This window comes from Homo sapiens, chromosome 6 (assembly GCF_000001405.40).
Source record: "Homo sapiens chromosome 6, GRCh38.p14 Primary Assembly".
Lineage (NCBI taxonomy): Eukaryota > Metazoa > Chordata > Mammalia > Primates > Hominidae > Homo > Homo sapiens.
Window position 1 is genome coordinate 165,430,092 of NC_000006.12, and position 20,902 is coordinate 165,450,993.

General features: G+C 35.9%; 1 protein-coding gene across 13 annotated transcripts in view; it reads right to left on the reverse strand.

Moving 5' to 3' along the window:
• Positions 1-20,902, reverse strand: part of PDE10A (phosphodiesterase 10A) — a 660,764-nt gene that overhangs the window by 102,803 nt on the left and 537,059 nt on the right. For all 13 annotated transcript variants that reach the window (XM_011535387.4, XM_017010194.3, NM_001385079.1 and 10 more), the window contains 6 exons: positions 20,151-20,271; positions 18,837-18,886; positions 5,146-5,286; positions 2,883-3,038; positions 1,331-1,381; positions 196-254 (listed from right to left, as the gene is read on the reverse strand). In XM_011535387.4, coding sequence (XP_011533689.2) covers positions 196-254; positions 1,331-1,381; positions 2,883-3,038; positions 5,146-5,286; positions 18,837-18,886; positions 20,151-20,271 — 578 coding nt within the window. The remainder of the gene's footprint in view (positions 1-195; positions 255-1,330; positions 1,382-2,882; positions 3,039-5,145; positions 5,287-18,836; positions 18,887-20,150; positions 20,272-20,902) is intronic.

The following is a 20,902-nucleotide window of genomic DNA, read 5'->3' on the forward strand; positions in this document are numbered from 1 at the left end:
TCCTTCACTTTAGAGTGAACGTGAATGAGAATATAACTCTACAATCCATAATATGATTAACCGTTCCCAGACTACTTGTAAAGACGGATCTTCAGTTATCAGCTGCAATAGACAATGGTCTATTTCTGCCACAGGCTGCCCTTAATTTAAACCATTGATTAATAAGAGCTACTATCCCTAGAAATGAACACTTACTTTGATACGTCGAGTAGGAAGTCATTCAATTCTGTCTGTTTGGCAAGGCCTCTGCATACCTACCATATAAAATAATAGGTACAATTACAAGAGATTTCTGCTTATTTCAAAATAAAACTTCCAGAATACTAATTACCTTATTTATTGAAAGAAGGCCTAACACAATCACTTGGGTTATAATGTAATAATAATATCAATAACCATTAATATTTACTGAATACTTAAATGTGCTAAACATTGTTTTAAGCACTTTCTATTTATTGTCTCAAGCACCACAAAACATTATAGGTTTGGAATTTACATTTCATAATGGACTTATAAAGATGTTAAGAACCTTACTGAGGCTTCAGAATTAATAAGTGATAGAAGCAGCATTCAGGTCTGGATAGTCGACCCAAGTCTCTCTTTAGAACTACTTTACACTGTATTTCTAAAAACTGTAGTTGAGCACATATTCCACCTACACCTGATAATTCGAGTCCTTTCTACTCCTTCTATTATCCTACAGCTCGATTTTTCTTCCTAGCATACAGTTCTTCCCTCATCAACCTCAATTTGCTGAAACAGAAGTAGAAAAATAAAACCACCACCAAAAAAAATAAAAAGAGAGAAGGAGAAGATACAAAGAACGCTATATTGCTACCATGTTCTTGAACTTTAAAGTCTAACCACCAGTAAAACTATAAGTAGTTGGTGATTTTTAAATTAGATATCTTCAAAAGAACCAGATATCTTAAAGTTAGAATGTTTCATAGATCACTTAGAGGAAAATTTAATTTAGGAAATGGAATCATAAAAATATCAATGCAACTCCAGTAGGAGATTGTTCCTAGGTTTTCAGTGGAAAACAAATACTACAGCAGGACATATGCCATTTATTGCATTAATTATATATGTATTTATTTTATATATAGATATATATGTATGTGAATGGACACACATATATTGCAAAATATTTAAGGCAGGGAGTAAGTAAATATAACTGATTAAGTTAAAATTTCTAGAAATAACAGAAAATTGTAATATCCCAAAATAAGGCATTGGGTGACTTAACCTCTATTCCGGTCTTCAATGCCTCACTCCAAAAACCTCTTCTCCCTTAGGAAGCCCCTGCAAAAACACCCCAAAGACTCACCTGCACCTGATGTATTGCTACTGAAGCCCAGGCAAGATTTGCTGTTGCAACCTAAAAAAAACAAGAAATACATACCTATAAGTAATAATACATAACGTATATATATATACTATATATAATATACTATATATCATATGTATAATACATAACATATATATACTATATATAGTATACTATATATAATATATATCATACATAACATATATATATATATACACACACACACTACTTGTAGTCATCTCAACAAAGGACTCGGGGATACATGTATATGAAGAATTTTCTGACATCACTGAGCTTTTGAACATTTTCCAAACACAAAGCACCAAATATTTACAAGGTTTTTCTTTTATATTTTCCCCATCTATTTAACTGACTTTAATGTTCTCTTGTTCATCTTAATTTTGGATAAAATGGAAAACAAACTGATTGTTAAGAGAGCTGTAGCCCAATGATTTTCACAAAATTACTACTTTTCGGTTTAACAAAAATACTATTGAAAAGCAATCTAATGACCACTTTAAATAATGAAATATTTCTAAAATGTAAAAATCATACACATATATTTATACACAAGCTAACAAGTTCCTCAAAATTACTAGCTTTTCTACTTCTTTTATTATTCACTCATTCAACAAATATTCATGAGTGTCTATTATGTACCAGGCACTATTCTAGGTGCTGGAGATACTGTAGTAAATAACAGAAATGGAGTGGCCTTCAGTGTACTTCAGGGAGAAGGACAAGAAATGAAATAAGTGTAGCATATAATATATTAGATAGTGACAGGTGCTATAGAGAAAAAGCAGAAGAAGAGAGAAAGAAACATTGGATAGGAGCCATTCAAATGTACATGAAGTGTTCAGGGAGGGCCTTATAGAGAAGGCAACATTTAAGGAAATTCTGAAGGATGTGGCTGTGAGGGGGATAAGTGGAGAGAAGAAAAAATGCAAAGGCCTCAGTTAAGTAGCCTGTCAGCCTTGCCTGAGGATCCAGCGTGGCTGGAGCGAGTGAGGGACAGGTGGGGTCGCAGGAGATGGGTTCATTCAGGCAAGTGAACAGGAGTGAGGCCACTGAAGGAAACTGGTTTATACTGGATGTGATAAATGTATCATTTTAATATTTGCTTTTAGTAGTAATGAGCCTATTGAGTGAATAGTGAATGGAATTCAAATGTATTTGACACTAGAGTCTTTTATGCAGGACACAAGCTAAGAAAAAGACATTTTAAAGAAGACATAAAGACAACCAGAGTGTGAAAAGTCTCCAAAGTCCTTCTACTACTTTCTATGACTCAGAGTACAGCATACCTTTTATTGTTACACTGGATTTTACTTAACAAAAGGACCATATCTCTTATGTAACCTGTTTCCTCTCTAAACAGAAACAGGTTTTAAAATCATTATCATTAGTATCAAAACACTGTTAAGCAAATTGTGATTTTAAATATTAATTCATGTATTTTCAGTTTAGTATTACTTAGCAATACTAACAAGCACCTTCAATGAGCTAGGTACAACTAAAAATTCTAACATGCAGCATTTAAAGGCCTTACCTCCTGGTGACTAAGACAGAAGGCTTCTTTGCCCCAGTGCCGATACAGCTCGAGAATACCAATCAAGTCACCAATTGCAGTGACAATTGGTAAGCAAAGAACAGACTGGATACGAGTCCCTGATTCCAGTCCAGTACCTCTTGGAAATCGTTCATCCTGAAAAACAAAAAGACAAAAAGACATAAATTCAGTGAAATGATCATTAAGTGATGATTCTTATTTCTATCAGAAATTGCCATGATACTTGTAATCAATAATAAGCAGTACTTTTCAAAGGAAAACTAAATGATGATAGCCACCATAAATCTTAGGTAAGAAAATGCTTACTTTTTCATGGAACTTATACCCAAATACTGCTTTAATATTTCTTTATCCTTATGCAGCATAAATTTAATGAACGAATGACATATGTTAATTTCATATGACAATAAAAAAAGTAATCATAAATGCTGGCACTTATTCATCGTCTTCTATGTGCCGGAACAGTCTTAGGGTGTTTACAGGTACAATGCCGCAGGGAAAATTACTCAAAATGTAAACACTATGTGAAGAAAATTATTTATAAACTTTTTTTCTATTTTTAAGCCTAGAGTAACACAAAAGTGTACGTTAATAACAGTCATTCTAACTGAATCTCAAAGGCCCATATTAAGTATTTGAATCAACTAATAATGATCAATTACTTATCATAAGAAATGAAATTGGTTCTTTGATTTTAAAATTTTCTAGCTTGGCAAATTTACTCAAAAGAAGTACAGGGGGCCGGGCGCAGTGGCTCAAGCCTGTAATCCCAGCACTTTGGGAGGCCGAGGTGGGCGGATCACGAGGTCAGGAGATCGAGACCATCCTGGCTAACACAGTGAAACACCATCTCTACTAAAAATACAAAACAAATTAGCCGGGCGCGGTGGCAGGCGCCTGTAGTCCCAGCTATTCGGGAGCCTGAGGCAGGAGAATGGCGTGAACCCGGGAGGCGGAGCTTGCAGTGAGCCGAGATCAAGCCACTGCACTCCAGCCTGGGCGACACAGCGAGACTCCGTCTCAAAAAAAAAAAAAAAAAAAAAAGAAGTAGTACAGGGAAATTGAATGAATTAATATCAAAAGCATCAATTCTATTTCTTCAATTTCTACTGTCTGTAAGAAGCTATCAGGATGAATTAGAACTTCATGAAATAGTGTAACTCTGTACTTGTAATGTACAGATCTTTTGAAAGCTTACATACACAACAGAACATTTTCAAATGAGAACTTATACAGCATGGGCCCTCCTTCTCTCCTTCCCTCCCTTCCTCCCTTCCTTCCCTTCTGTCCTTCTATCTCTTCCTTCCTTCCTCTAGCTACCAAATTTATTCAAGGTTATACAAATAATGGTGGAAAAACCAAAATTAAAACCCAGGTTTCATGGCTCCTATTAGCACTTAGAGCAATTTTTTTACACCTGTGTACTTGTTACCTTTGAAGTCTATATTCCATGTCATAAAATTTCATTAAAATGTCCACATGTACTGTGGAGGACTAGACTGAGGGCTCCACTTTGTCTAGTTTCTCTGTATCTATGTGCATGGTTAGTGATCTATACTGAGTCTGGGCCTGTCTACGTGATTTGCTCTGGCTAATGGGAGGGTAGTAAATTTGATGTAAGCAGTGGCTTGAAAACTCACTTGTATGTTTCCCACTACTTCTCTCAGACTCCTGTTACCTCACAAAAACACACCAGGATAGCCTTACTGGAAGCGGGTGAGAGACACAGGGAAAGCGATGGCATAAGAGGCCAGCCAGCACCTAACTCATGGCCAGCTGACCTCAGACGCATAGGCAAATCCAACTGACAGCAGTCCAGACCAGCAGAATAACCCAGTCCTTAGATTCATAAGAAATCACACGTGGCTACTGTATGATACCAGTAAAACTTGAGGTAGTTTGTCATACAGCAATAGCTAACTCATTCATATGCATCCCAGCAAAATATGAATCATAAAACAGTAATTATTTAGTTTACATTCATATGAATATACACAGTATATTTGTGTTTAACTGTACTGGCATGTGTTGAAATAAGAACTGTGCACATTTAGCTGTTAGTGGGTAAAGGGAATTTTCTGAGTACAAAAAATTAACTTACACATTAATATATTGATCTGTAACTAGCTTTAATGCTTTTTAAAATGAAACTATTTAAATTATAACATCAAAATGATATGCCATCTTTCTTAATTAAATACTTTAGGTCAAAAGTGTCACAAAGAATCAAAAAGCCACTTACTCCAAGGATGTCTTCTACTAGCAGTGTTTTCCTGGACTTGGCCACATAAGCAGAGACGGTGGTGCCCTGAGTGATGGGCCCAGCAGGGATGAGGCGGGGTTTTCCTTCCTTTATCCCAGGTGGCGTGAATATACACAGGCTCTAGGGAGAAGAAAAGATGTTTTACAGACTTTCCTGTACATGTGCATAGTACAAAAAGACACACGTGAATCCTAACAGTCATAATAAATCTGTGAGCCAATTAAAAGAAGAGTCATAAAATGAGGAAAGGTGCTTTGCCATGATCAAACCAGATTACCTAAAGTGAAACTATCTCACATTTCCACTTCACAAAAAATACACACTCAAATTTAAAACTTAAATGAATGTACAGGCACAGAAACACTCTTCAAATAGCCTCCTATTTTGATACACAGAAAATAATGAAATGAGACAAAATGCATCCTGTCATTGGGATCAAGATTCTATCAGACCACAAACACACACAGGGTCCAACCTCCCTACAGACTTGACACATGTTACCTGAAGACAGAATCAGTAGCTGCAAGTCAAGTGATTTGGTTACATTTTTCATTTTCATTAGAAATCTTCCCTTCTGAGAACCTTCTAAGACTCACTCACATTACTTCGACTGGCTAGTTTATAAAATTGCAGATTCAGAATACTCTAGATGAAAAATTTGCTGTTCTCTGAGCAAAAATCTTGAAAAATCTGAGGGATCTTTCCCTTTCAAATGACTGGGTGGGAAGGTAATGTCCTGAAACTATTTTAAAATAAATTGTTTTTTAAAAATAGCATCAGTTATTTTGACGAAATCCAAACATATTTTAAAATTACTTTCTACTAAATAAGAATTGCTACTTTAATCATGTAGAAATTGGGGGCAATATTTTGACATAATTGTATCATGATTATCTACAAAATTTGAAAATATAAATTTCCCACAGACTTCACTTTATTTTTATCTTATGTTGGATTACTCTAACAAAGAATGAAGACTACTTGAAGCAATAAGTATTAGACAGCCCTCTTAACCTAAGCACCTTTCTACAATACTTGTTATTACTAAGGTAGTTCTAAGGATGAGACAGGTATTATTTATTAACTTATCAGGTATGTGGTTTTTAAGCCTTGTAAAATTACAGAACTCTTTCTTTAAACATCTTAAAAGAGAATGAACCCCATTAACTTGACTAATAAACCCCATAAACTTGGTTAAATGAACAAGGAGGAAGGGAGAGAAAAGCAAAGCTTTGCTTTAACCTTGGGTACTTGAAATTAATAACAATTATAAATGATTAGAAGCTAAGTTCAAAATACTTGTATTTCCAAGTATATCCACATAGGGCTGTGCTTAAATTGTATTTGCTATTAAGTACGATGCATGTGAAAAATTTAAGTAATTATTTTAAAAAGAACTAAGCTATTTAATATGTTTAAATAGAAAGTATACACTTATGGATTAAAAAATTACATATATGATGAAAGACAGTTTCAACTTAGTTATTCCTTAAAAGGCTGGAAAAACCATTTTCTAGTTACTATAATTACATTAGGCACCAACATACACATGGCATAGAGTAAGACTATCATTAGATTCAGTATCTATCATTGTCCAAATACAATTCAGTTTGTCACCCTTTCTTAAGACAGAAAGAGTAGAAAGGTAATTCAAGAACAAAAAGAATAGATAAATGCAAGAAAAAAAATTTAAAATGTGGTATATTTAGAATGAAGAAAAATTGGAATTGACAACGATTTTCTCAAACTATAAGGAAGCAACTGTCCCTTTTCTGTACCAAAGACGGAACTGCAGGAAGTGAACATAAATTGAACTGAGTGGTTTAGATAACTCTTAAAGAAGAACATGTCATAATAAAAACAGAAGGTGAACTCTGGAGCAAGCTTCCAACAGTAACTCTGTATTTTTTGCGGGGGGTGTGGAGGGAGTCATAGTTTTTGGCTGCATTTGTTTGTTTGAAAATGTAAAACGCACATCTTTTTTTTTTATGACTTAGCCATAGGCCCTTCAAGGCTGAATTTAATCACATGTTTAAGTTATACATAGCTTCATAATCCAATAATAACAGACTATCTTATACATTCCTACATTATTAGATGATCATATAGTCAGTATTATAAAATATGTATTGCTTCTGTGTAGGTTTCATACAATACACAAGTAACAGATAAGCAAATACTGTACCCAAGAGTGTATGGAAAGCTCTTCTATTTATTACGCTTGCTGAAAATAAAAGGTTTAGAAGTCTTTCAACTACTTGCTAGAATATGAAAAACTTCTCTATGTAGTTAAAAAAAATTATCAAAAATTGAGTAATACTTTATAGTGGAAACTTTATACTTATTTTCCTAATTAGCTCATGATTTTTGTTCACATTAACCCAACAGAAATGTTTCCAATGAGAGCTGAGGATAAATGCTAACCAAACATTGAATACATTGTGATATGAAGGCCCAAAACTCCAGCAGAAGGGAAAATGAAGCCTAACCTCACAACACACACTTGTTTGTTGTTTCTGACATGTTTTCATGGCTACACTTTCCCTCCTTTATATTAGTGGTTCCCTTCTGTGTTGTTTTTGTTTTGTTTGCCTCCAAACAATTTACCTGCAAAAGCTCCTTTTTAATATCCATTTCTAATTGAGGATCAGTCACTGGTTAGAATCACATGTTTTGCAGAAGCATATTTTTAAATGATTTTGGCAGTTGAATGCATTGATAGGTAGCTACCTGTTATAAATATAAAAAGTCTAAAATAGAGGTTGAAGTTTACACATACTCAGCGCTAGGGAAACGTTAATTTACATTCCATTTATTCCACAGATACTGTCAAGTAGGATGTCATGGGCTGAATCATTATCACTTTTCCACTCATTGAACTGCCACCTTCATCATACACTTCATCCTCAAAGACGCTTTTTTTAATTTTTAATTTTTAATTTTTTTTTGAGACGGAGTTTCACTCTTGTTGCCCAGGCTGGAGTGCAATGGTGCAATCTTGGCTCACTGCAACCTCCGCCTCCCAGGTTCAAGCGATTCTCCTGCCTCAGCCTCCCGAGTAGCTGGGATTACAGGCATGTGCCACCACGCCCAGCTAATTTTGTATTTTTAGTAGAGATGGGATTTCTCCATGTTGGTCAGGCTGGTCTCGGACTCCCGACCTCAGGTGATCCACCCGCCTCAGCCTCCCAAAGTGCTGGGATTACAGGCGTGAGCCACTGTGCCTGGCCTATCCTTAAATATACTTGGGTCTGTTTCCGAATTCCCAATTCTGTATCTTTAGGTTTACTTGTATACCACACTGTTTTAATTATTATAAAAGGTTTACAGTACATTTTATGACTTGGCAAGGCAAATCCTGACTTAGTTCTTAGTATTTCAAAATAATCATGATTTATTTTATAAGCTATACACTTTGGCCTGGGCGCAGTAACTCATGCTTATAATCCCAGGGCTTTTGGAGGCTGTGGCAGGAGGACAGCTTGAAACCAGGAGTTCAAGATCAGCCTGGGCAACATAGCGAGATCTGACCTCTACAAAAAATAAAAACATTAGCTGGGTGAGGTGGTGCATGCCTGTAGCACTAGCTACTCAGGAGGCCGAGGTGGGAGGATCACTTGAAGCCAGGAGTTTGAGGTTACAGTGAGCTGATATTGTGCCACCGTACTCCAGCTTGGGTGACAGAGTGAGACCCTGCTTAAAAAAAAAAAAAAAAAAGATATATACTTTGCATTTCTCATTGGTGAAGTATCTACATGAAGGCATTAATCATTAATAAATGATTAACGTAAATAAGTTCTAAAGACATTTACACAGGAAATAGGGACTTCATTTTTCAAAATCAATATAACTGTTGACTTAAAGATTTAACTGGGATATTCAGATTAATAAGATAAAAAACCTTATGCTATTTTCATAGAAGGATGAATGGAAACACCAGACATTATTTTAAGAAGTATTAAGGCTCTTATACATATGTTTACAATATCAAATTTATCTATAATATCCAGTGTTGAACTGAGTCTCTAAGATTAATTCCTGCTCTACTACTGTATAAATATATAAAAACTTTAATTAGGACAAGCATCTTTTAGAGGCTAGAGATAAAAACCACAACTAAAAAACAAGGAAAAACTTTAAAGTTTCAAACATTAGCCACCTCTATCATTTCCAAAGAAGAAAGTAACTGCCTTCAGGATATCTACTCGACCAAAGGCCGCTGCAGTTCTTTAGCACTTGAGAGTTCCAGAGGTGATGGTGACCACTAGTCCCTCCACCTCTCAACTAGCATCGATGAGATTGCCCAAAGAGCAGAAAATCAATCCTATCAGAGGCCAGGAAGTCCTAGGGGAGGAATCAGCTTTTAAATTTTTCTAAGAAACTCATTATGAAGTAGCTAATATTTTTGTGGTAACAGCAAATTTTTATATCTATTTCTAAAGTGAGATAATTTAAACTAGAAAAGATTGGGCGCACAAGTCATAATCAATAGGTTGGTTCAGTAAAGGACTTAAAAAGCATTCAAATTACAAAAATGTAAATTTTGGGAAATAAATAGATTTGGTGGAAAATGAACAAGAGAATAGACTAGTACAATTTATAAAAACACCATCTTTTAATGAAATAGAAAAATCCAATTCATTGATATCAGCCAAATAGATGTTTACCTCACTTGGTTAACATTTGCTTTCATCTTTCTTTCCATGCACAATTCAAACATCACTTTATTCATGAGACTTCATTTCAATGTTAAGACTTCAACTTACAACCAGTTAAATTTTGGAAACACTTCTTAAGAAGAAAAAAAAAGTATTTAGGTTTACCAATAAGCTATTATCCTTTTAGACACTAGATGGCACTGGATAGTAAACAAATTTACATCTATGTAGACGGCCGTAAGTAAATAGCTCCCACATTTACCTGGAACTTGATATATGGATGACTAACTTTGTTTCCATAATTCTTAAAAATAAATCTGCTGAAGTTCACTGTGCACTTGAAGAAGGCAAACAATTACTATAAACTACCAGCTCTGGATATGAAGAATGCAGTATTTCTGGTGAATGTTTAATGTATACATACTGAAGGTAAAACTTAAGATTCTTCTGCTCTTCCATTTTTCCCAATTGTATCCCAAGTAACAAAACTAAAATGTGTTCTTCCCAGTATGTGGGTAATAAAAATCAAGTAACAAAGGGGCAGGGGGAAGCTATGTTCTTAAAAGACGTGTTGTATTACGGTGGAAAGAGCATAGCTGCTCTTTGTAGAAAGCACAGTAACTTTGGAATGGGAGCCTAGCCTTTAGTTGTTGACTAGCTGTGTGAACTCGGACAGTCATTACCCATAAGAGACCTTGGCTACCTCATCACTAAAATGAAAAGATTAGATTAAATAATTTGGAAGTGTCTCTTTTAGCTTTAACACTCTATGAATCTAGGACTCTAGAGTCATCTAGTTGCTCATGTTTATAAATAAAAATAACAAAACAACTGTTTAACTAACTTATCAAACCTGTAAATTATGGAAAGGTTGTTTTTAAAATAACCTATATATATATATACAATAAATTTACTTTTGAATTAAAAATTTTAAAGTATAAAGTACATAAGGTTTTCAGCTTTCACAAACAACTCTGATAGATAACAGTGGAAAAACTATAAAGATACTATCATCAGGTATGTTATACATGTAACTAAGCATAGCCATACAAACAATAAAAGTTGAATTAAGCAAAAATTCAGTCATGAAAAAATTATTTTTTCCCAAAAACATCTCAAGAGCACTTTGTCTATAGCAGACATTGCTATGGGCCAGGATACAACATAAGTTGTTTTCTTTGCTAACCCCAGATTTCTCAGAAATTGCTTCTTCTGCCCAAGAGACATCCTTTACTTTCCCCTCTCATCTACTGAGAGGTCTTAAATCCCCACTGAAATATTGTCTTCTCATCATCCAATCTGTTTTTATGTGCTGCAGCCCCATCGAATTCATGGTCACAGAGCCTTTGAGCTCCTCTCTGTTAGCACATAAAAATCATGTGCTGTAACTAGCTGCTGATTTTTCTATCTCCCCTACTGCTTATACATTCTTTGATGTGAGAAATAATTTTGTTTTTGTATGCTCAGCAATTTAGCACAGTTTTTTGGTACTTAGCAGATGTTTTAAACGGTTTGTTAAACAAACAGCATTTATGGTGTAACATTTAACTAATGGAGGGTAAATGGTAAATTAAGGTTTAGAAAGTTTAAGAATCTTGTCAAGTCACACAATTATTAATTACACAATTACTAAGTGGTAAAACAGAACTCACACAATCTAACTCCAGATCCAAAATTATTTCAATGCTAAACTACTTACTAGGAAGTTTTCCTTTTTTCCCAAGTTCTGAAAAAGTATAACGAGCACAGGAATTCTCCTTCTTAAAGGGCTGCCTCAGTAGCAAATGAACAATGCGGGTACAGGAGCCCAGGCTGTCGGGCTCATCACTGTCTCCCCGGGTTTAACATGGTGCCTGGTGATGACTGGGGCTCAAGAACAGTCAGATGAATCAATGCCCTACTGGTTTGCAGAAAGGTAATATTTCAACAGTGTCTTCAATTTCCTCCTTGGCTACTGGACTAATAAGTTTTCTATTATCATTTGTATTTAATAGGATAATTTATATTTTCCTTGAAAACTGTTCATTTTTATCTAGGTTTTCACATTTGTTAGTAAACATAATCCCTCATAATTTCTAATTTTCATTATATCTATTATTTGTTTTTAGATTATTAAACATATATATTTCTTTTTTGTCAGTTTAGTAAATGGTTTGTGTATTAGTCTGTTCTCACACTGCTAGAAAGAACTACCTCAGACTGGGTCATTTATGAATAAAAGAGGTTTAATTTTTTTTATTATTATACTTTAAGTTGTAGGGTACATGTGCACAACGTGCAGGTTAGTTACATATGTATACATGTGCCATGTTGGTGTGCTGCACCCATCAACTCGTCATTTAGCATTAGGTATATCTCCTAATGCTATCCCTCCCCGCTCCCCCCACCCCACAACAGGCCCCAGTGTGTGATGTTCCCCACCCTGTGTCCATGTGTCCTCATTGTTCAGTTCCCACCTATGAGTGAGAACATGCGGTGTTTGGTTTAATTGACTCACAGTTCCACAGGCTTAACAGGAAGCATGACTGTGAGGCCTCAGGAAACTTATAATCACAGCGGAAGGGAAACGGGAAGCAAGGAACTTCTTCCCATGGTGGCAGAAGAGGGAGTGCAAGGCGGGAAGTGCCACACACTTTTTACCTACCATCAGACCTCACGAGAACACATTTACTATCATGAGAAAAGCAATGGGGAAATCCGCCCCCATGATCCAATCACCTCCCACCAGGTCCTTCCCTTGATATGTGATGATTACAATTTGACATGAGATTTTGGTGGGGCAACAGAGTCAAACCATATCATTCTACCTCTGGCCTCTCCCAAATATCATGTCCTTCTCATATTTCAAGACCAATCAGGTCTTCCCCACAGTCCTTCAAAGTCTTAATTCACTGCAGCATTAACTTGAAAGTCCAAGTCTAGGCCAGGCATGGTGGCTCACGCTTGTAATGGGGAGGCTAAGGCGGGTGGATCGACTGAGGTCAGGGGTTTGAGACCAGCCTGGCCAACATGCCAATACCCCATCTCTACTAAAAATACAGAAAAAAATAGTCGAACATGGTGATATGTACCTGTAGTCCCAGCTACTCAGGAGGTTGAGACAGGAGAACTGCTTGAACCCAGGAGGTGGAGGTTGCAGTGAGCCGAGACCATACCACTGTGCTCCAGCCTGGGTGACAGAGCAAGGCTCTGTCTCAAAAAAAAAAAAAAAAAAAAAAATGTCCAAGTCTAAAGTCTCATCTGAGACAATGCAAGGCCCTTCCACCTGTGAGCCTCTAAAATCACAAACAAGTTAGTTACTTGTTTGGGGTACAGGCATTGGGTAAATGCTCCCATTCCAAAAGGAAGAAACTGGCCCAAACAAATGGGGTACAGGCCCTGTACAAGTCCAGAACCCAGTAGGACAGTCATTAAATATTAAGGCCCCAAAATAATCTCCTTTGACTCCATGTCTCACATCCAGTGCATGCTGATGCAAGGGGTGGGCTCCCAAGTCCACAGCCACAGCTCTGCCCCTGTGGTTCTGCAGGGTATGGCCCCTGTGGCTGCTTTCATGGGCTGGTGTTCAATGCCTGCTACTAATCCAGGCGCATGGTGGAAGCTGTTGGTGGATCTACCATTCTAAGGTCCGCAGGACAGTGGCCCTCTTCTCACAGCTCCACTAGACAGTACCCCAGTGGGGACTCTGTGTGGGGGACCAAATCCCACATTTCTCCTCTGCACTGCACTAGCAGAGGTTCTCCGTGAGGGCTCTGCCCCTGCAGCAGACTTCTGCCTGGATATCCAGGCATTTCTATCATCCTCTGAAATCTGGGTGGAGGCTCCCACACTCTTGCCTTCTGTGTACCACGGCTAGAGCTGAAGTGACTGGGACACAGGACACCATGTTTGGAGCAGCAAGGCCTTGGGCTTGGTCCATGAAACCATTTTTCCTAGGCCTCTGGACCTGTGATGGGAGGGGCTGCTGTGAAGATCTCTGAAATGTCCTGGAGACATTTTCCCTATTGTCTTGGTGATTAATATTCGGCTCCTCGTATGCAAATTTCTGCAGCCAGTGGCTTGAATTTCTCCACAGAAAATCGGTTTGTCCTTTCTACAACACGGTCAGGCTACAAATATTCTAAACTTTTACGTTCTGCTTCCCTTTTAAACACAAAACCTTCTCTTCATGAACACATATGACTGTGCAAGGCTAGGAGCAGCCAGGCCTCATCTCCATCTGAGACCACATCAGCCTGGACTTCACTATCCGTATCACTGTCAGCATTTTCGTCACAACCATTCAACAAGTCTCTTGGAAGTTTCAAACTTTCCTTCATCTTCCTGTCTTTTGAGCCCTCCAGTTTCCTTTGTTTTTAGTCATTATAGGAATCCCATGAAGAATTCTTAGACAGAAATTAAATACATTAAAGTTAGGGTCTAGCCCAGAAAAGAAAAGGAATCACAAGTTGGTAAATCCTAACCTAATATACTGAGTTTAGTATGTGTATTATTTGGATAAATAATAATGTATTGATAACCTCTTCTAAGCTGTTTTCTTGATCTCTCAATAATTAAAAATACTACTATTTTTCTGTCCATTTTCTCCATTTTGCTTCAGAAACTTCAATGTACCAGAATAAAAGACAGTTTGGTTTTTTAACCTGATCTAAGTTTTTTTTCTTTTAACAGTTGGATCTTCTTTACAAGTAATTTTGTTATAATCACATAATGATTTCCATAATAATATTTTATGTTTTAATTTTAGTGCTTTTTAGTATTTAGTTTTGTTTTTATCTTCTGCTAAATGTTCTATGTGAAAAAAACACATAGAACTTTTTTCCTCCTTGCTTATATGAATGCACGTTTTTAAATTCTATTAGAACTTCTGACATATTTAAATGTTATTTGTTATATTTCTCATTACATCAATTTCAGAAATTTAATTATTTCTACTGCGAAGAAATTCATACTTTAATAAGTATAAAAACTGTATAATTCTTTCTTTTTTTAACCCTTAGTATTTGTTGATAGGGACAGAAAATTTTCTCAGTCTATTTGTGTTTTATTATAATTTTGTCACTATAGTATATAATTTTTGTTGTGAAATTGAGTTATTTAAGACTTTCTTGCTATGATTCCAAATCGAGACAATTTTTTAAAGATTGACAATTATGTAGACTATGCTGTCTTTCATGTGCAAAAGGCGAAATACAAAAATATATACATGTATCTGCTTACCTGTGCAAAAGATGTTTCATTTAATTTAATATGGTTATATTTTAGAAGTGTATCTTCTATTGCCAGCGATACAGCAGATTAGATCATTTGGCTGACACTTTTGAAAAAACAATTTGAAATTTATTTAAAGGCTGCATAAAATATATTTTACCCATCTTTTATATTGCTTTGCTGGGCTGAGAAGAATGGAAGGAATCCACAGAAATCTAAAAGGAAGTAAATAAAGGAACTGTGGGAGGTAACCAGATCCCAAAGCTGTCTTTCTCTTGAGGGAATTACTAATGACTGAATAGACTGATCTTCTCCCAGGAAAGCCACACGGAGATTGAGAGACAGGAGAGAAAAGTTGGGGCCTTTCTGTGAGGAAGTCTAAATAGAGACCCCTTTAGAGGGCCAGGACAGGCAACAGGCCAAACATTCATCTTGGGTTGAAGGACAAATACACTTACCCCAGCAAAGAGGCTGCAAGGAAACCAGATTATTTTGAAATTAGTACTGGAGGGAAAATAACAATCTCCTCTGAGAAGTCATAATTGTGCATCATGTGGATTGGACTCTTGAAGCCATACTACTTTATAGCCTGAAAATTCATCTCAACCAGATAATTTAGTTTAAAATGGTTTTGGATTGGTAGTACCTTAAGTGACTAGCAGAAACAAATGCATGTCTATCTCCAAGAAAGAAACTAGAAAGGCACTTCTAACAAGCCTCGAGAGTATCCATTTAAGAGGCCCATGGAAGAATAGAATTCACAGTTAGAGAGAGAGAGAGAGAGAGAGAGAGAAAGGAAAAATAAAAAGAAAACCATAAAACACATAAGCAAAAAAGTCACCATCTGTCAGAGTTGGACGAAACAAAGCCCAAGAAACTGTAAATTCAAAGGAACATAGAAGAAGTATAGTTAATGTATTTCAAGAAATAAAAGACAAGTTTGAAAATATGTACAGGAAATAAAAAACCATAATGAAAACCAAAATAAATTTAAAAACAGTATCTTTATTTTAGTCAATATTCAGAGAGATAATTTATCAACCTGAACTCTTTATCTACCAAAGATATATTCCAAGGAGCGGGTGAAATGAAGACAAATTCACACAAACACAAACTGAGAGTGCTTTCCATCAGCAGACTCTCGCTAAGGGAAATTCTAGAGAATGCATTTCAGATGGAAGAAAAATGATCCCAGATGGACGACTTGAGATACAAGAAGAAATGAAGAACAAGGAAAGTAGTAATCATGTAGATACATCTAAAAAAACACTTGAGTGAACTTAAGATTTCTCAGCCAAAGTCTTCTTCCTACCCACAGAAATCCCTGGGTCAAGGAAATAACAAGGCCTTAGCTATCTAGGTGGAATGCATAAAGGGCAAAATAGAGTGAGCAAAACACAGTAATTATCCCCAAGAATTATCCTCCCAGGCAGATAAGGTATCTGTCTTCATAAAGCTGACATTCTAGCAAGAAAGCCAGATAAACAAATAACCACTCAAATCACAGATAAACATGTAATCACAGACTCAGCTATGTTCCATGAAGGAGACTTATATAATGTTGAGAAAGCAAAATACAGTGTACAGTGGGATCTGACTTGGGAAGCTCAGAGACAGCTACAATTTTGCTATGTACCCTGCTGTTCATAGGGATATTAAGTTGAAGAAGACAGACTCAGTCCCTGAGATGCGGGAAAGAAAGAAGGAACAGGGAATCAGTGCCCCTAGAGAGAAGCATGCCCAGTAAATGGACTGACCTTAGGAGTTTAGAATAAGGAGCCAGAATAAAACTAAGAGGATATTGTACCAGTCCTTTAAGTTACTAAAGTAAAAGATAAGTAAAGATTAAATAATTCAAATTGATACATAAAATTACAATTTAGATATTGTAGATAGAAAAGCGTTTTGCTGAATCCTAAGAGGAACTACTTCATTGAGGCCAGTGTATAAAGAAGTCTGCAAATAAAGCAAAAAAAAAAAATAAAATTTTTTAAGCCAAGTGATTAAGAATGTGGGTTTTGTAACCTAAATCCAAGCCCGCAAAGTCAGCATTTTGGGCTCCCGTCCACTGTAGCCATAGGGTTCCTGCTGCCTGCACCTCTCAGTCTCTGCCCGCAGCTGTCTCTATTCTCTTTCCACAGGGCAGGAGAGACCAGCCTGTAGAGGCAGCCTCAACTTCAGGATTGTTACCACTTTTGTTCAGGTGAACGGCTAGAATTGCTGAGTCCAAGATACAGGTTTTAGCAAAGAATCTGCTGGGGCCCTCATGGGCCACATGTCCACCCCGATCTGAACTAGAGACCCGAGGATAAGGGGTTGGAGGTGAGCACAGCTGCGTGGCCAACTGGGGGGCTGCTGGAGGCGGCTCAGAAGGAGTAATGTGACGTGGACCACAACAGACTGCATTCCACACGTATCAGCCAATTAAAAAATAATGGCAAACTGTAGAATATTTTTCTAAAAGAAATTACTTTTAATAAAAACTTTGACACTTTAAAAATAATTTTTAATGCACCGAAAAGAAGTAATATCCATTTGTTATTTTCGTAGCTTAGCCATTTTAGAATACTACCAGTGTCTGAAATATAGTTTATTTAGAAGTGGTAGTAATATCTGAATAATGCAAATTAATAAACATTCTTATCTGACGGTTTATATGAAAGGCACTAGGAGAGGGGCTTGGGAAATACAAGAATGAACAAGAAAATGTCTTTGCCCTAAATAAGCCTTTCATTTTTGAGGTAACAAGCGTAATTTGTTACAATACAAGGGAAAACAGTGGCCATGGAAATGAATAAGAAGCTGTAAGTTAATTAAATCAGCCAATAAATATTTTTGTGCAACTATTTTCGCACTTTGCAAAACTGTTATATTTAAGAGTCCTATTAAAAATCTCAGAATGCTTTTGTCTCTATTCCTAGTAACATTGTATATAATGTACATAATACATATTTTGATTACTCAAGAATACAGGTAGCATATTGCAAAAATACATTCCAAATCTAAGATAGCAATGCCTAACACATAAGAAATGTGAAGCAAAAATGTGTGAAATAAACTTATGAGGGAATTTATACATTAAACTTATGAATATTAGCATTATTGGCTCAGATTATGCTAAAATATGTATACTTTTTAATACTGTATCAAAAATCAAATGCCAGTAATTGAACATCTTGAAATACTTTTGAAAGTGCCTTTCTATGTTGCATTTTCCGGCGGGCTGTGCTCCAGGTAAGTTAGACCAGAAACGCAGGATCCGGCCTGGTGGCAGAAGACTGGAACAGCCACAGCTGAGAATCCCCATTCCTTGACTGGCCTGAGCCTACTACAGTAAGGCAGCTTAGGGATCTAGACACAAAGCCCTAGGACTTTTAGAGTCATCTGCAAAAAACTTTAAAAATCACCCAGAAAATGTTCAACTTTCTGTTCTCATTTAATTCTACTGTAGATCATGTGTAGAGAGGGTACAGGCATTCCTCTACAACATCCCAGCTCACAGTGCCAAATACCTTTTGTACACAACACTAAATCTAGAAATGCCATTTATAACATAGGGTACCACAAACCAAAGCCAAAGGAAACACACACACACACACACACACACACACACGATTTTATGCCTAAATGTTGCCATGTCAGTAAAATTCTTGACTGGTAATAACCAAATATAGAAACAAAACACAAAATGATTTAAATGAAAAGTACTTAATCATGAAATGTCGGTTGTTTATAACTTTTTTAAAGGAGCTTATGATATTTTCTTATCTAGAGCACCAAAATCTAAATTTAGATACTTACATTATTGCACTCTCCAAGGAAATACAGTGCAAATCCATCGGCTTTTGTGGCTGCCAAAGTAATAAGAAAAGGAAGAAACTGAGCTCAGTGGGAGAATCTAACATGTATGCATCCTCCAGGGTGAGAGGCAGATGTGAGTCTTTCAAATTGATTTGTTAACAGAATCAATGGTCATGCAGTAAATGGAACAAAATCACTTATGGCTTTACTTAATAGCATAATTAAAATATCCTCTACATTTTTCATCAGTGAGTATAAAATTTAAGACGATATGCTCAAATGCATATAGCAGTCAACGTACCACATAGTAACATATTTGTTGAACTTTATTCAGAATTATTGAATATTTTTTAAATTTGAGAATTGTGTTTAATTTTTTAAGTTTTTAAAATACCACAAGTGATATTTATAATATTAAATAACCAAAGTAAGTATCAACCCAAAAAGCTGATGTATTCATCTATAATTGTCACTGAAGCAAACATAATTTAACTTACCTAAAATTGCCTCAGGGTCATCTGAAGGCAACTATAATAGTTAATAGCATAAGTCTTGGAGGGACTGCCTCAATTAAACCCCTACTTAACTCCTTTTTACCTGTGTGACTTTGGGTAAGATGTTTAACCTCTCTGTTCTATAGCTTCCTCATCAGTAAAATGGTGGCAATAATAAAAACAACCTCCTGAGACCGTAATAAAAATAAGTCAGTTAATGCATATAATATGCATAGACAGGTGCCTAGCATATGGTTAAATACAAAATAAATGTTATTATGGTTGGTATCATTTATATTTTTATTTTCAAATTAAAAAACAAAAGATACAATTGTCATAGTGGGTATCCTTCTGAAAAATCATGTCCTAAAAACAAGTGTATCCTTCTAAAATAGTACTTTTCTAACTTTCCCCATTCTATTCACAACATAAACCATTTCTTAAATGGTATATAAAATTGTCATTTACCCAAATACATTTAAAATGCTTAGTCTCTCTTTAAAATTAATATATTTTATAAAGATGTGATTTAATTCAATAAAACTATGCTTTCCAAAGGAAACTAGGTGTTAATTAGAAGGCATAGTATATTACCTGTATATATCAGGCAGATACTTATTTGGGATTAGACAATTTAGAAAGTTTTAGGTTTGACTCACCTCTGGTAGTTTCATAATAAAATATTTTCACTTGAAATTTAGTCCAGAAATAGAAGTAAATATAAATGACTTTCATCTGCCTCTTAGTAAGTAGTTTTTGCTGCTTTTTGTAAAAGAATCTTTGCCCATTTTTTCTAACAGGAACACAAAATGCTTCTTACCTATTTTAATGATGCTGCTCAGTTCATAGAGGAGTAGCTGGTTGTCTCCTCCTGTGTCCAACCGTTGTTCTATATAGCTGTTTAGTTCATATACAACTCCCTGCATATTCGTATCTTGGTACTTTGGATTAAAAATAACAAAAATAAAAACAGAGTTTAAATAAAATATAACAAAAATTCCTTAGTCTGTAAGACATACTATTAATATATGTGACTTAATATACTAAGTTATTCATTATGCTTTTATAGCACATGATTTAAATATTATAATCTATTTTATAAAACAAGTAGATTGAAAATTAAAATTGCTATGACTATTTATTTATTTATTTATTTTGAGACAGGGTCTGTCTCTGTTACCCAGGCTGGAATGCAGTGGCACTATCTCAGCTCACTGCAACCTCCACCTCCTGGGCCCATCCTCCCACCTCAGCCTCCCAAGCAGCTGAGACTACAGGCACACACCACCACACCATGCCTGGCTAATTTTTGTATTTTTTGTAGTGACAGGCTTTCACCATGTTGCCCAGGCTGGTCTCGAAAACTCCTGAGCTCAAGTGATCCCTCTGCCTCAGACTCTCAAAGTGCTGGGATTGAAGGCATGAGCCACTGCACCCGGCCGACTTCTTATTTAGAATTATCCATAGACTGCGTCTATGCAGCCTATATATATTAAAATAGTAGGTGTTACAAATTTTAACTTTGTTTCTAAAGTTTTATATATATTAGGTAACTTGATTAGTAAAAATAAT